We start from the raw sequence: 17,277 nt of genomic DNA on the forward strand, positions 1-17,277 counted from the left end.
AACTCTGGACACGCTGCCTTTAAGAACTGTAACACTCACCGTGAGGGTCCGCGGCTTCATTCTTGAAGTCAGTGAGACCAAGAACCCAGCAGTTCTGCACACAATACTATGAACAATTTTATGCTAGTAAATTGATATATTTAGATTACATGAATAATTTCTTTAAAAAAACAATAAAATTGTCACAAGAAGAATCAGAAAATCTAAATTGTCTATAACTATTGAGGATATTGAGTTCATAATTTCAAATCTTCCCACAAGAGATACCACAGGTCTCTATATTCTTCACGAGTTCTACCAGTTTTTTAAGACCAGCATAACTATATTACAAACTGACAGGGACGTCAGAAGGAAAATTTTGCAGGTCAGTCTCACTAATGAACATAGATTTTAAAATACGTATATATTAGCAGACCAAATCCAACAATATATAAATAATATATTATGATTATACTGGGTTTATTCAAGAACTAGCGGCGTAAGTGTAACAGTCCAAACACTTTGTGATCATCTTAATAGATGCAAAAAAAATTTTTGATAAAATTCAACAGCCATTAGTGTTTTAAAAAGAATAAAGAAAGCAAATGTTTACCATAGTAGGAATATAAGGGAACATCTTTAGTCTGACAGATTATCTACAAGAAAACAACATGCTTCAACTACTAGCTGTATCCCCAAGAGAACTGAAAACACATATGTCCACATGAAAACTTGAGGACAATTGTTCATTGCTACACTATTCATAACAGCTAAAATTTAGAAACAGCCTAAATGTTTGTCAACTGTTGAATGAATGTACAAAATGCTGCATAGCCATACAAGGGAATATTATTTGGTAATAAAAAGGAATGTCATACTGACACATGCTGAAAGTGTCACCACATGGATGAACCTCAAAAACATTACGTGCAGTAAAAGAAGCCAGTCACAAAAGACCACATATTGAATGATTTCATTCGTATGAAATGTCCAAAATAGACGAATCCATTGAGAAAGTACATTAGTGGTTGCCTGAAATGAAGGGGGTAAGAAGATAGGGAATGACTGTTAATGGGTACAGGGTTTCTTTATGGAGTGACTAAAATGTTCTAAAAATAGTAGTGATGGCCCTAACTAGGAATATACTAAAAACCATGGAATTGTATATTTTAAAGTATGCGTTTTATGGTACGTAAATTATATCTCGAGATAGCTGTTATTTTTTTAAATGGTGAAATACTGACAGTTTTCCCTTTCTGGGAACAAAACAGTGATGCCCACTGAAGGCCCTGGCCAGTGTGGTAAAGCAAGAAAAAGAAGAGAAACAGTTTTTCCTTCATTTTCTTATGGGAAAAAAGAAGTAAAGGAAGGAAAAACTGTTACTATTCCCAGATTATGTGGATATGTATGTAAAAAATCCAAAAGAATTTTCAGATAAATTACTAAAATTATCTTTAGAGTTTTCCAGACACACAATTAATATATAAAAATAAATAGTGGTTTGGCATCCCTGAGGTCCAGATTGCTGCTGCATGTGTGTCACTAGGAAGGCTCATGATCCTCCCTTGCTCCTGTGTAATCCACCATGCTGATGGTTCTGCTTTGTGGGGTCTTTCACTGCTGTGGCATCATGAAAGCTCTCTTGCTGGTACTTTCTCTGCTCAATGGAGCTCTACTTCAAAGAAGATCAGACAGTAAATTAATGTGAAAATTGATGCTGTCAAATTCATTAGGATTAAGACAAAACCATTATTTCAGCTCAGCAAAGGGAACAAAAGGATACCTGAAATGTGAGAGTCCCAATTAGGGGGTTGTCCACCCCATACTTGCCAGGATATTAAAGATTTTATTACTGCATATGATCACTAATGTTGGGCAAAACTTTTCTACAACACAAATGTAGTACATCAACTATCAGATTGGAAATATATTTTAATAAAAACAAGTTATACTGCCTAGAAATTAAAAAATAATTGTCTTTATACAGTGAGATAATGAAGTTAAGGAAAAGATATGTAAATATCAAGTATATTTAAAATATATCAAGTAGTTAAGAATGAAGTAACAAAAAATAGGCAAGATATCCTCAGAGAAAATTATAAAATTTTGAGAGAAGTTAAAGCTTATGGGTATTGGGAGATACCATACTCAGGGAGTGGAACATTCAGTGTTGCAAAGATAACATTTGTTCTTACACTGATCTTAGAGTTGATGAAATTCAAATCAAAATCCTAGCAGTTCACTTTTGTGTGTGTGTGTGTGTGTTATCTAGAACTTGACAAATTCTAAACTCTATAGGGAAATGTAAAGGCCAAAGAAAAGCCAAGACATTCCTGAAGAAGAACAAGGCTATAAGACTTTCTATCCCAAATATCAACACTGATTATAAACAAGCTACAGTAATTAAGGCAGTTTGGTAGTGATAGAAGGATAAACAATGGACAGTGGCACAGAAAGACAGCAAAATACTCATCACATGTAGCTACTTGATTTTCTCACGTGGACGGTTTCAAGGAACTGCGGAGGGAGACAGAAGAGACCAAACAGACCCACTCATAGGAAAATGGGCTATGGACTTGTTCTGTTGTGCTCCAGAGACCAGAACTAGAATCAATGGACAGAAACTACAAGCAGGCCGATTTGGACTTAATTAGAAAAAGAACACACTTTCTCATAACCAAAACTGTCCAGCTGAGCTACTTGATGAGGTTCCAGGGGCACAGGACAAGAATGATTTGAGTGAAAACTAGATGAAGCTGGCCCAGTGGCTCAAGCCTGTAATTCCAGCACTTTGGGAGGCCGAGACGGGTGGATCACTTGAGGTTAGGAGTTCGAGACCAGCCTGGCCAATGTGGTGAAACACCGTCTGTACTAAAAATACAAAAATTAGCTGGGCGTTGTGGCACACGCCTGTAGTCCCAGCCACTCGGGAGGCTGAGGCAGGACAATCACTTGAACCTGGGAGGCAAAGGTTACAGTGAGCCAAGATCGCGCCACTGCACTCCAGCCTGAGTGGGAGAGCATGACTCCGTCTCAAAAAAAAAAAACAAAACAAAACAAAACTAGATGACATTCTATTGAGAATTTTGCCAAAGGAATTTCCCAGACACCGGATTAGATATCATTTTATCAATAGCATCTGTGCTTCTTTGATCTGCCTCCCTAAGATAGTGCTGTTAGGCAGTGGAGAACATAGATGTACGTTCTGTCTCTGAGCAGTTCTCTTACTCCCTGAGCAAAGTTTGTTCAGGAGCCAGGCTTAGTAATAATGGCCAATGTGGACAAAGTACAGTACAGTTAGAGGCTGGGTTCTGGGTCTGGTTCTTCCATCCATAGTTCCACCAAGCCACTAGAGTCTGGAGCCTTCCCTTGAAGTCGCAGGTAACTAAAACAGACACTGAATCTCTGTACTCAGCATGATAACAGAGACAGGACACATTGATGGATTCCCCTGCATTCAGTCTAGAAGTGGAAACAAACTCATTTGAACAAATGGTGTCATTGGGCCGGGCGTGGTGGCTCACGCCTACAATCCTAGCACTTTGGGAGGCTGAGGCAGGAGGATCACGAGGTCAGGAGATCGAGACCATCCTGGCCAACATGGCGAAACCCCGTCTCTACTAAAATACACAAAATTAGCTGGGTGTGGTGGTGCGTGCCTGTAGTCCTAGCTACTTGGGAGGCTAAGGCAGGAGAGTCACTTGAACCCAGGAGGTAGAGGTTGCAGTGAGCCGAGATCGTGCCATTGCACTCCAGCCTGGGTGACAGAGTGAGACTCTGTCTCAAAAAAAAAAATGGTGTCATTGGAGGATGCTGGGTGCTGAAGTCTTCGTAAGAGGGAATAATCTAATGAAATAGTTCAGTTTCTTTTGTTTTTGAGAATTAAAATAAACTGTAAGATATGACAATTGATATAACAAGTTTTCTTAGACCTGTTTTTTTTTTGTTTAGACTTTGTTTGATTTCCTGTCCTGCTGTAGTAATATTCAGTCCAGGAGGCTGGAAGTATTTCTAGATAGTTATGCATGTAAAGGGATGTAAGGGTTGAGGCAAGAGTACAAATGAAGTTTCACATATGATATTCTAAATGTGTAAAAGTTACACCTTAAGCCAGCAAGCAGTTAAATAAATTATGTTTGATTCTCTTATCTTGAAATGTGTCCTTCATAACAACCTGGAAAGCCAGGTTCCAATTTAGAATCCTGAACTCCTCAGGATTCACTGACACCAAAACATGGTGGCTCAGGAAGGAGCCAGTACACAGCCCGCCACACTTTTCTACCCTATGCCATGACCTACTTATGCCTCAGGGCTCTTTCCCCAGCTCCATATGAGCAGCTACCCTCTGGCCCTGGGGTTGCTTGCACTAGCAGTGTGGTCTGTCTTCAGGGTGATAGAGCCAGGGAAGAGGAATGCATAAGCCCTGGAAACAAAGTTATTTGGGCAGAGAATTCCAGGCTACCAGATACTCAGAGCATTTCCTGGGGAGGTGGCTGTGGGAGAGCACATAGACATCTTGCTTAGTGGCCAAGCGGAGCCCATGTCACAAACCCCTCTTGTCCAGGTTTAAGTGTGACGCTGGGATTGGAAGCCAGGAATTATCATGAGTGGAAGCCACAGTTTCAGGCAAGAAAATTTGGGTGAGAAATATATAGTACTGTTATATAGTAAGGAGTTAAGTATAGAAGTCTTATTGTGATATAGCATACTTCCCCAAAATGACGTCTGATGCTTTTTGTTTTTTGAGATAGGGTCTTGCTCTGTCACCCAAGCTGGACTGTAGTGGCACAACCATGGCTTACTGTAGCTTCAACCTCCCAGGCTCAAACAATCCTCCCACCTTAGCCTGTCAAATGTCTGGGACTACGGGCACATACCACCACACCTGGCTAATTTATTTTATTTTATTTTATTGTTTTATTTTTCCATAAGTTATTGGGGTACAGATGGTATTTGGTTACATGAGTAAGTTGTTTAGTGGTGATTTGTGAGATTTTGGTGTACCCATCACCCAAGCAGTATACACTGCACCCTATTTGTTGTCTTTTATCCCTCACCCCACTCCCACTCTTCCCTTCAAGTCCCCAAAGTCCATTGTATCATTCTTATGCCCTTGCGTCCTCATAGCTTAGCTCCCACATATCAGTGAGAACATTCGATGTTTGGTTTTCCATTCCTGAGTAACTTCACTTAGAATAATAGTCTCCAATCTCATCCAGGTCATCCATGGTGTGTGTATATATATATAATGGAATACTATGGAGCCATAAAAAGGAATGAGTTAACAGCATTTGTTATATATATGGTGTGTGTGTATATATATATATATATATATATATATGATATATATATGTGTGATATATATGTGTGTGTATATATGTGATATATATGTGTATATATATGATATGATAGATCTATCATATATGTGATATTATAGGTCTATCATATATGTGATATGATAGATCTATCATATATGTGATATGATAGATCTATCATATATATGTGATATGATAGATCTATCATATATATGTGATATGATAGATCTATCATATATATGTGATATGATAGATCTATCATATACACACACACACACACACACACACACCCCACAGTTTCTTTATCCACTTGTTGATTGATGGGCATTTGGGTTGGTTCCATGATTTTGCAACTGTGAATTGTGCTGCTATAAACATGCATGTCTAAGTATCTTTTTCGAATAATGATTTATTTTCCTCTGGGTAGATACCCAGTAGTGGGACTGCTGGATCAACTGGTGGTTCTACTTTTAGTTCTTTAAGGAATCTCTACACTGTTTCCCATAGTGGCTGTACTAGTTTTCATTCCCACCAGCAGTGTAGAAGTGTTCCCTGTTCACCGCATCCATGCCAACATCTACTGTTTTTTGATTTTTTTATTATGGCCATTCTTGTAGGAGTAAGGTGGTATCACATTGTGGTTTTGATTTGCATTTCTCTGATTATTAGTGATGTTGAGCGTTTTTTCATATGTTTGTTGGCCATTTGTGTATCTTCTTTTGAAAATTGTCTATTCGTGTCATTAGCCCACTTTTTGATAGGATTGTTTTTTTCTTACTGATTTGTTTGAGTTCGTTGTAGATTCTGGTTATTAGTGCTTTGTCAGATGTATAGATTGTGAGGATTTTCTCCCACTCTGTGGGTTGTCTGTTTACTCTGCTGACTGTTCCTTTTGCCGTGCAAAAGCTCTTTAATTAGGTCCCAGCTATTGATCTTTGTTTTTATTGCATTTGCTTTTGGGTTCTTGGTCATGAAATCCTTGCCTAGGCCAATGTCTATTTATTTATTTTATTTTTTCCTCTTTTTTTTCTTTTTCTTTTTATTATTTTTCTTTTTTTTAAGCCAATGTCTAGAAGGGTTTTCCCAATGTTATCTTCTAGAATTTTTATAGTTTCACGTCTTAGGTTTAAGTCTTTAATCCATCTTGAGTTGATTTTTGTATAAAATGAGAGATGATGATCCAGTTTTATTCTCCTACACGTGGCTAGCCAATTATCTCAGCACCATTTGTTGAAAAGGTTGTCCTTTCCCCACTTTATGTTTTTGTTTGCTTTGTCGAAGATCAGTTGGCTGTAAGTATTTGGGTTTATTTCTGGGTTGTCTATTCTGTTCCATTGGTCTATATGCCTATTTTTATACCAGTATTATGCTGTTTTGGTGACTGTGGCCTTATAGTTTGAAATTAGGTTGTGTGATGTCTCCAGATTTGTTCTTTTTGCTTAGTCTTGCTTTGGCTATGCGGGCTCTTTTTTGGTTACATATGAATTTTAGAATTGTTTTTTCTAATTCTGTGAAAAAGGATGGTGGTATTTTGGTGGGGATTGCGTTGAATTTGTAGATTGCTTTTGGCAGTATGATCATTTCCACAATATTGATTCTACCCATCCATGAGCATGGGATGTGTTTCCATTTCTTTGTGTCATCTATGATTTCTTTCAGCAGTGTTTTGTAGTTTTCCTTGTAGAGGTCTTTCGACTCCTTGGTTAGGTATATTCCTAAATATTTTATTTATTTATTTATTTTTGCAGTTATTGTAAAAGGGATTGAGTTCTTGATTTAATTCTCCACCTGGTCCCTGTTAGTGTATAGAAGAGCTACTGATTTGTATACATTAATCTTGTTTCTGGAAACTTTGCTAAATTCTTTGATCAGTTCTAGGAGCTTTCTGGAGGAGTCCTTAGGGTTTTCAAGGTAAACGATCATATTGTCAGCAAACAGTGACAGTTTGACTTTCTCTTTACTGATTTGGATGCCCTTTATTTCTCTTGCCTGATTGCTCTGGCTAGGACTTCCAGTACTGTGTTGAAGAGGAGTAGTGAGAGTGGGCATCCTTGTCTCATTCCAGTTCTCAGAATGCTTTCAACTTTTCCCCATTCAGTATTATGTTGGCTGTGGGTTTGTCGTAGATGGCTTTTATTACATTAAGGTATTTCCCTTGTGTGCCGATTTTGTTGAGAGTTTTAATCGTAAAGCGATGCTGGATTTTGTTGAATGTTTATTCTGCATCTATTAAGATTATCATGTGATTTTTGTTTTTAATTCTTTTTTTTTTTTGAGACGGAGTTTCGCTCTTATTGCCCAGGCTGGAGTGCAATGGCACAATCTTGGCTCACTGCAACCTCTGCCTCCCAGGTTCAAGTGATTCTCCTGCCTCAGCTTCCCCAGTAGCTGGGATTACAGGCACGTGCCACCACTCCCAGCTAATTTTTTGTATTTGGTAAAGATGGGGTTTCACCATTTTGGTCAGGCTGGTCTTGAACTCCTGACCTCAGGTGATCCACCCGCATCACCCTCCCAAAGTGCTGGGATTACAGGCGTGAGCCACTGCGCCCTGCTTTTACCTTTAATTCTGCTTATGTGGTGTATCACGTTTATTGACCTGCATATGTTAAACCATCCCTGCATCCCTGGTATGAAACCCACTTGATCATGGTGGATTATCTTTTTGATATGTTGTTGGATTCTATTAGCTAGTACTTTGTGCTTTTTTGTTTTGTTTTGTTTTTTCCGAGATGGAGTCTTGATCTGTCACCCAGGCTGGAGTGCAGTGGCACAATCTCGGTTTACTGCAACCTCCGCTGCCCGGCTTCAAGCAAGTTTCCTGCCTCAGCCTCCCAAATAGCTGAGACTACAGGCGCCTGCCACTGCGCCCGGCTTATTTTTGGTTTTTTAGTAGAAATGGGGTTTCACCATGTTGGCCAGGCTGGTCTCGAACTCCTGACCTCGTGATCCATCCGCCTCGGCCTCCCAAAGTGCTGAGATTACAGGCATGAGCCACTGCGCCTGGCCTTCAGTTAGCTAGTATTTTGTTATGGATTTTAGTATCTATGTCCATCAAGGATATCGGTCTGTATTGTTTGTTGTTGTTGTTGTTGTTGTTGTTGTTGTTGTTGTGTCCTTTCCTGGTTTTGGTATTAAGGTGATGCTGGCTTCATAGAATGAGTTAGGGAGGGTTCCTTCTTTCTCTATCTTACAGAATAGTGTCAAAACGATTGGTATCAATTCTTCTTTGAATGTCTGGTAGAATTCTGCTGTGAATCCGTCTGGTCTTGGACTTTTTTTTGGAAATTTTTTTTTTTTTTTTTTTTTTTTTTTTTTTAGATGGAGTTTCGCTCTTGTTGTCCAAGCTGGAGTACAATGGCGTGATCTCAGCTCACCACACCTCTGCCTCCCAGGTTCAAGCGATTCTCCTGCCTCAACCTCCCGAGTAGCTGGGATTACAGATGCATACCACCATGTCTGGCTGATTTTTTTGTATTTTCAGTAGAAACGGGATTTCACCATGTTAGCCAGGCTGTTCTCGAACTCCTGAACTCAGGTGATCCACCCGTCTCAGCCTCCCAAAGTGCTGGGATTACAGGTATGAACCACTGCGCCTGGCCAGTAATTTTTTAATTACTATTTCAGTCTTGCTGTTTGTTATTGGTCTGTTCAGGTTATCTAATTCTTCCTGATTTATTTACAAGCTAGGAAGATTGTATTTTTCCAGGAACTTATTCATCTCTTCTAGGTTTTCTATTGTATGTGTGTATAGGTGTTCATAGTAGCCTTGAATGATCTTTTGTATTTCAGTGGTGTCAGTTGTAATATCTCCTGTTTTGTTTCTTAGTGAAGTTATTTGGATTTTCTCTCTTCTTTTCATCATTAATCTTGCTAATGGTCTATCAATTTTATTTATCTTTTCAAAGAAGCAGATTTTTGTTTCATTTATCATTTGTATTTTTTTGTTGTTGTTTCAATTTCATTTAATTCTGCTCTAATCTTGGTTATTTCCTTTCTTCTGCTGGGTCTGTGTTTCGTTTGTTCTTGTTTCTCTAGTTCCTTGAGTTGTGACCTTAGATTGTCTGTGCTCTTTCAGACTTTTTGATGTGGGCGTTTAGGGCTATGAACTTTCCTCTTAGCACCACTTTGCTATATCCCAGAGGTTTGATAGGTTGTGTCATTATTGTCATCTGGTTCAAATAATTTTTTAATTTCCATCTTGATTTCATTTTTGACCTAATGCTCATTCAGGAGCAGGTTATTTAATTTCCATGTATTTACATGGTTTTGAAGTTTCCTTTTGGAATTGATTTCCAGTTTTATTCCACTGTGGTCTGAGAGAGTGTTGGATATAATTTCAATTTTTTTAAATTTATTGAGACTCATTTTATGGCCTATCATATGGTCTATCTTGGAGAAAGTTCCATGTGCTCTTGAATAGAATGTGTATTCTGCAGTTGTTGGGTGAAATGTTCTGTATATATATCTGTTAATCCATTTGTTCCAAGGTATTGTAACAAGTATGGAAATTCCCCACTATTATTGTGTTGCTGTCTGTCTCATTTCTTAGGTCTATTAATAATTGTTTTATAAATTTGGGAGCACCAGTGTTAGGTGCAAATATGTTTAGAATTGTGATATTTTCCTGTTGGACAAGGCCTTTTACCATTATATAATGTCCCTCCTTGTCTCTTTTAACTGCTATTGCTTTAAAGTTTGTTTTGTCTGATATAAGAATAGCTACCCCTGCTCACTTTTGGTGTCTATTTGCATGAAATGCCTTTTTCTACCCCTTTACTTTAAGTGTATGTGAGTCCTTATGTGTTAAGTGAGTCTCCTGAAGGCAGCGGATAGTTGGTTAGTGAGTCCTTATCTACTCTGCTGTTGTGTATCTTTTAAGTGGAGCACTTAGGCCATTTACAGTTGCATCCATCCTGCTCTTTGTTGCCTGTGTACTTTGTGGGTTTTTTTGTTTTTTGCTTTTGCTTTTTAGCTTGTATTTTTGTTTTATAGGTCCTGTGTGATTTATGCTTTAAAGAGGTTCTATTGTCATGTATTTCCAGGATTTGTTTCAAGATTTAGAGTTTCTTTTAGCAGTTCTTGTAGTGGTGGCTTAGTAGTGGCGAATTCTCTCAGCATTTGTTTGTCTGAAAACGACTATATCTTTCCTTCACATGATGCTGAGTTTCGCTGAATACAAAATTATTGGCTGATAATTGTTTTGTTTGAGGAGTAGGGTCCCAATCCCTTCTAGCTTATAGGGTTTCTGCTGAGAAATCTGCTGTTAATCTGATAGGTTTTCCTTTGTAGGTTACCTGGTGCTTCTGTCTCACAGCTCTTAGGATTCTTTCCTTCATCTTAACTTTGGATAACCTGATGACAGTGTGCCTAGGCAAAGATCATTTTGCGATGAATTTCCCAGGTGTTCTTTGTGCTTCTTGTATTTGGATGTCTGGCTCTCTAGCTAGGCTGGGGAAGTTTTCCTCAATTATTCCCCCAAATATGTTTTTCAAGCTTTTAGAATTCTCTTCTTCCTCAGGAACACCAATTATTCTTAGGTTTGGTCGTTTAACATAATCCCAGACTTCTTGGAGGCTTTGTTCTTATTTTCTTATTCTTTTTTCTCTGTCTTTGTTGGACTGGGTTAATTCAAAGACCTTGTCTTTGAGCTCTGAATTTCTTTCTTCTACTTGTTCAGTTCTATTGCTGAGACTTTCCAGAGCATTTCGCATTTCTTTGTTTGTTTGTGTTTTGAGACAGAGTCTTGCTCTGTCGCCAGTCTGCAGTGCAGTGGCACGATCTCGTCTCACTGCAACCTCTGCCTCCCAGGTTCAAGTGATTCTCCTGCCTCAGCCTCTCGAGTAGCTGGGACTACAAGTATGCACCACCACGCCCGACTAATTTTTGTATTTTTTTAGTAGAGACGGGATTTCAACATGTTGGCCAGGATGGTCTCGATCTCCTGACCTTGTGATCCACCCACCTAGGCCTCCCAAAGTGCTGGGATTACAGGCGTGAGCCACCGCGCCTGGCCTGCATTTCGCATTTCTAAAAGTGTGTCCAAAGTTTCCTGAGTTTTTTATTGTTTTTTTCTTTAAGCTATCTATTTCATTGAATATTTCTCCCTTCACTTCTTGTATCATTTTTTTGGATTTCCTTGCTTTGGGCTTTGCCTTTCTCTGGTCCCTCCCTGATTAGCTTAATAACTAAGCTCCTGAATTCTTTTTCAGATAAATCACAGATTTCTTCTTAGTTTGGATCCATTGCTGGTGAACTAATGTGATTTTTGGGGGATGCTGAAGAGCCTTGTTTTGTCATATTACCAGGGTTGGTTTTCTGGTTCCTTCTCATTTAGGTAGGTTCTATCAGAGGGAAGGTCTAGGGCTGAAGGCTGTTATTCAGATTCTTTTGTCCCATGGGGTGTTCCCTTGATGTAGTACTCTCCTCCTTTTCCTATGGATGTGGCTTCCTGTGAGCCAAACTACAGTGATTATTGTCTTTCTTCTGGGCCTAGCCACCCAGTGAGTCTGCCCGGCTCTGGGCTGGTACTGGGGTTGTCTGTACAGAGTCTTGTGATGTGAACCATCTATGGGTCTCTCAGCCGTGGATACCAGTGCCTATTCTGGTGGAGGTGGCAGAGGGTGCAATGGACACCATGAGGGTCCTTAGCTTTGGTGATTTAATTATCTATTTTTGTGCTGGTTGGCCTCCTGTCAAGAGGTGATGCTTCCTGGAAGGCATCAGCTGTAGTAGAGTGGAAAGGGACCAGCAGTAGGCGGGGTCCTAGAATTCCCAAGACTATAGGCCCTTTGTCTTCAGCTACCAGGGTGGATAGGAAAGGACCATCAGGTGGGGACAGGGCTAGGTGTGTTTGAGCTCTCCTTGGGTGGGTCTTGCTGCGGCTGCTGTGGGGGATGGGGTGAGATTCCCAGGTCACTGGAGTTGTATACCTAGGAGGATTATGGCTTCCTCTGCTGAGTCATGCAGGTTGTCAGGGAAGTTGGGGAAAGCCGGCAGTCACAGGCCTCACCCAGTTCCCACGCAAACTGCAAACTGAAGGGCAGTTCCCCCGCCACCCAACAGCCCCAAGTCTGTTTCCAAGCAGAGGGCAAGAGGGGCTTGAAAACTTACCCGAGGCTGTCCACCTCCCAGCTGCCAAAGAAAAGGGCTCTTCCCCCGCCTCTGAAGTCTGCACACTGGATTCGCGCCCTCCCCCAGTTCTGGCCAGGAGGCTTCTTGTCCCGTTCAAATTGTTACAAAGTTCGGCTAGAGAATTCATTCTCCCTGTGGAGTTTTACCCCTGCTCCTCTGGCCGCCCTCCCGATGGATCCCTGTGGTGTCAGGCAGGAATGGGCTGCTTGGGGACCCAACGAGCTCCCAGGGCTTTTCTGCTGCTTCCTCTACCCCTGTATTTCACTGGGCTCTCTAACTTGACTCAGCTCCGGGTAAAATCGGAAACTTCTCCCGCAAACAGACCTTCAGCTTCTCCAGTGGGGGTGTGTGTTTAGGAGAGACGGGTCTCCCTTTCCCACTTCCGCAATTGGGGCACTCACAGTAGTTGGGGTGCCTCCCAGGTCCTGCAGGAGCAGTCCATTTCCCTCAGAGGGTCTGTGGGTCCTCTTGGGATTGCCAATTTATTCTTGCAGTCGATCTGGAGCTAGAATTCACAATGCAGGCCTCCAGATGATGGTCTCTCTGGAGCTATAATCTAGTCCTGCCTCCTGTCTGCCATGATCCCCTCCATCTCTTAATTTTCTTTTTTAATTTTTTTTCATAGAGATGGGGTCTCACTATGTTGCCAGGGCTGGTCTCGAACTCCTGGGCTCAAGAGATCCTCCTGCCTTAGCCTCCCAAAGTTTTGGGATTACAGGCATGAGCCACCATGCCTGCTGTCCTATGTTTTTAAATGTATTTTGCTGATGAAATAAGGGAAGCTCTACCTTAGATGTAACACAAATCAAGGAAACCAGTCTGGGCCTGGTGCAATGGCTTATGCCTGTAATCCCAGCACTTTGGAAGGCCAAAGCACAAGGATCGCTTGAGCAACAAAGCAAGACCCCATCTCTGCAAAACATTTAGAAATTAGCTGGGCAAGGTGGCACATAACTATAGTCCCTGCTACTTGGGAGGCTGAGGTGGGAGGATCAATCACTTGAGCCCAGGAGTTCAAGGCTGCAGCGAGCTATGATTGTACCATTGCACTCCAGTCTGGGTGACACAGCCAGACCCTGTCTCTAAAAGAAATGAAACAAAATGCAAGAAAACAGAAAAACGTAATCCGTCATAGTCTAGTTTGGAAGAAACAAAAAACAAACTAGATAAACATGTGAGTGGCTAGTAGGTTCTCATATCATGACTGAAGAAAGCATCATCATGAACTTGTCCATTACAGCAAAAGATCATATATCAGCATTAAAGGATGAGAAACTTAGTCACGAATCCCTTGGTGTTGCATCATGAAGTTTGCCATCTAGTCTTGGGTATGAACCCGTACCTCCCCAGTTTCCATCCTTTTGGACATGACCCAAAGCTGATTGCAAAGTCTTAATTAGACTAAACTATCTAGCATTACATTAGAGCCCAAGTGTTCAGTGGTGGACAGCGACTATGTCCAGGTTGGGTCACAGTGGAGCCTGTCTGACAGCACCCTTGAATCAGGAGCATGGCAGTTTATATAATCTTAATCTGTTCTTAGCCTACTTAAGCATCCATCAGCCAAAAATAATCTTCCTACATCCTGTTTGGCTGTCCTCAAACTGCTTTTATTCCTTCATCCCATTCTCTACTCCATTTCTTTAAAAAGTAATCTACAGGACATGCCTCCATGTATTCACCTTCCATTTATTCCTTATTCTTATTCTACCACCGTTCTGCTTCCGCATTTATGGCTCTCAGAAAACTGCAGTCTCAAAAGTCGCAGTGGCTCCAAACCTATCTATGCAGCCTTCCTTTTTCTTGTCTTTTTTTTTTTTTTTTTTTTTAAATTGGTTACCCAATTCTTGGAAGTCAATCTGCTCTTCTACTTTTCTGACTTTTTTTCTCAGTACCTCTTACTGGTTCCCCTCCACCATGACCTTTGTCCATGTCTTAAAGTTGATACTCACCTAGTTTCCTCCTGGCCCTCTTCTCTTACCATTCTTGCTCTCCCTCATGATCTGCTTCATTCATTAAGTAAGCATAAATTAGCACCTCCATTAATCACATTGCTTTAATATATGCTAATGAGTTACATACCTGTTTTAAGTTCTGAGCTCTTTCCTGAGCTTCATACACAGCTTAAATTGCCAGCTTCCATTTGGTCACCTTGGCTTTGATTTCTCCCAAGCACTGCCTCAGCACATCTATAAGAACAAGACAAACTACCATCCCTGTTCCTCCCGCAATCCCCCAAACTTGTTATTCCTTTAATATCCCTTATTGTAGATAATTCATGGAACTGCAGAAATGGAAGATTTACCTAACAATTGGTTTTAGGTCTTGGTTTTAACATTTAGCTTTTTATAAGTTTGGGCTTGGATGGATATAGTGAGTTTATATTATGTCCCTACAGCAGGAAATTGTTTTTGCATGTCTAAACCAACCTGTTTTAACACTTGTAATATTCTGGCAAGAGTTCAGGAAGAGTTTAAATTACAGCAGAAACTTTGTACAAAGAAAACCACATTTGGCATTTATAGTTTAATTTGTCTTCATAAAAACTACATTGAGTCATTTTTTACCATAAGGGTGTACATTCAAAGCTTATGTTATTCAGCATTGGAGTAGTTTTGTAGAGTTTCAAAGTAACCTAAGAGTAGACATTTTTGGTATGCTTACTGGCAGAATCAAATTCTTACCTGTTCCTGCATACAGTATACCTGACAGATGATAGGGAGAGCCAGATGGGAGAGAAACAAAGAAGCCAATATGAATGAGCACCTACTGGCTGCCAGATGCCTGGTTCTTTGCTAGGCACTGTACACGTGTAATCTCAAGAAATTCTTCAACCCAATGATGTGTGCTATTATCCTCCAGTTTACAGAGGAGGAAAACTGAAGTGTCACAGAAGCTAAATGACTTTTCAGGCTAAGTGAAAAGTCACTGGTCAGCACTTCATTCCTCCACAACAGACACTGAAAGACATGTATTCAGAAGCCTTTAAGACAAAAACTAGATGGCTTCAATGCCTGAATTTGGTAACAGATCACCGTGAAGGAGTGAGAACTGGAGTTCAAATCTCAGCTAGGCCACTTGCCTCACAGTGAGGATTGCATAAGTCACATTTCCCTTCTGGAACTCAGTTTTCTTTTTTTTCTTTTCTTTTTTTTTTTTTTGAGATGGAGTTTTGCTCTTGTTTTCCAGGCTGGAGTGCAATGGCGTGATCTTGGCTCACTGCAACCTCTACCTCCCAGGTTCAAGCGATTCTCCTGCCTCAGCCGCCTGAGTAGCTGAGATTATAGGCGCCCACCACCACGCCCAGCTAATTTTTTGTATTTTTAGTAGAGACAGGGTTTCACCATATTGGCCAGGCTGGTCTTGAACTCCTGACCTCAGGTGATCCACCTGCCTCGGCCTCCCAAAGTGCTGGGATTACAGGTATGAGCCACCGCGCCCTGCCCCAGTTTTCTTATCTTCAAAGTGAGACCATTAGAGATTTCATAGGTTGTTTCTCTTTCATATTGTAGGGTGTGGTGTCCTGGGTTTGGGAAGCAGGCAGCCACAGCCACAGCCTCCAGAACAGTTCTTTTCCCTACAATTTTCCTTCTGCAAACCCTGAAACCCATGCTTAGCGTGAGGTTTGTGAGAAAATTACACAAATGGTAGTTTTACCATTTGCTGGGAATGGGGATTCTTTTCCACTGATATACTGTCTGAAGGAGATGGCTGTAAACCAGAGTGACCACAATATTTACAAAAGTATTTAATGAAAAAGACGACTTTGGCAACCGATGTAACCCATCACTTATGGGGGGGATAAAGAGAAGTTCACTTGAGGTTTAATAAATCAAAACATAGTGTTTGTCCACAGCCTCATTTTTTCCCCATTACTGGAAGATGATATCATCATTTTCATTTCCATTAGAATCTTTTAGTGTCCAGGGGGATGAAAAATTAATATTAGCTGTTTTTATTGTGCTGTTTTTATTTTTAAAGAGAATTTTAGTTTTAATTCTGACAGATATGTGAATGGGGCTTTCAAACTGTACCCAAGGATTCATGGCATTTTTATAAGAATTGTATTGTGGAAATGACTGACTTTTCTTTTATGTGTACAAGGATTATTCTTTTAAAGCCTCAAGTCTCCACTTTTTGGTAGCCTGCTCTTTTCCTCAATCCCTGACTTAAATATCATGCCTTCCAAGAAGCATTCTCCAGCTTCACGGTGCTCCCATAGCACCCCACTTACCCTGCTACACCAGGACTCATTTCTCTCTGCTTTACGTTATGAATGGCAGTTACCATCTGTTTTCCCCAAACAGTACATAAATTCTTTGAGGATTTACACATATGTGTATCAGTGTATCATTTTTATTGAGTGCATCTTGAGTGTAATAATAAAGCATAGCTCTTACAGTCTATTAGAGTCAATAGTCTATACGAAGGGATCAAATTACTGTCTCTGTGTAAAACAGTGTGATCATTTCTGTGATTGCAGAAATGTGAAGTTATTTTGGAAATCTATAGGAGAGTACACATCTAGAGTTTTTAAAGAATTAGCAAATGGTTTAGCAGCATTTAACACAGATGATCTTTCTTCAAACACTCAATTATTTTGTTTTTTACCAAAAGAATTGGTGAGAGTGAGAGAAACTCCCTCTCTCTTGTGTCTCCCTTCTTAATCTCTTTGGCTGGTTCCTCATCCTCCCTCCCCCTCTTCCTCCCCCCTCCCTACCCCTCTTCCTCCTCCTCCTCCTCCTCCCAAAGTGGGGTGGTGTGAACATGATTGTGAGGCTGGAGGGTTGAGTGCAGGAAAGAAGTGGCCAGATCACAACAGGCTTTGGAAATGACAGTGAAGGTCTGG

The 17,277-nt window shown here is 40.5% G+C and overlaps 2 protein-coding genes across 4 annotated transcripts in view, besides 1 other annotated feature; one reads left to right on the top strand and one right to left on the bottom strand.

Annotated features, from left to right (window-relative positions):
• The window catches only part of ECM2 (extracellular matrix protein 2), a 65,560-nt gene extending 53,086 nt beyond the window's left edge, over positions 1 to 12,474 (bottom strand). Inside the window, exon 1 of the mRNA XM_047422899.1 lies at positions 12,408 to 12,474. The gene's annotated coding sequence lies outside the window, so the exon portion shown is untranslated. The remainder of the gene's footprint in view (positions 1 to 12,407) is intronic.
• The window catches only part of CENPP (centromere protein P), a 295,062-nt gene that overhangs the window by 221,165 nt on the left and 56,620 nt on the right, over positions 1 to 17,277 (top strand). The gene's annotated exons all lie outside the window — the stretch shown is intronic.
• Positions 11,382 to 12,581: an enhancer, noted in NCBI's record as "MED14-independent group 3 enhancer chr9:95320296-95321495 (GRCh37/hg19 assembly coordinates)". NCBI's record gives its function as "activates an origin of replication core promoter dependent on BRD2, BRD4, P300/CBP and CDK7 cofactors, and independent of MED14, by STARR-seq in HCT116 cells {active_cell/tissue: HCT116}" and the evidence as "EXISTENCE:reporter gene assay evidence [ECO:0000049][PMID:35650434]".

The sequence above is a fragment of the Homo sapiens genome, chromosome 9 (genome assembly GCF_000001405.40).
Source record: "Homo sapiens chromosome 9, GRCh38.p14 Primary Assembly".
In the NCBI taxonomy this organism is placed as follows: Eukaryota; Metazoa; Chordata; class Mammalia; order Primates; family Hominidae; genus Homo; species Homo sapiens.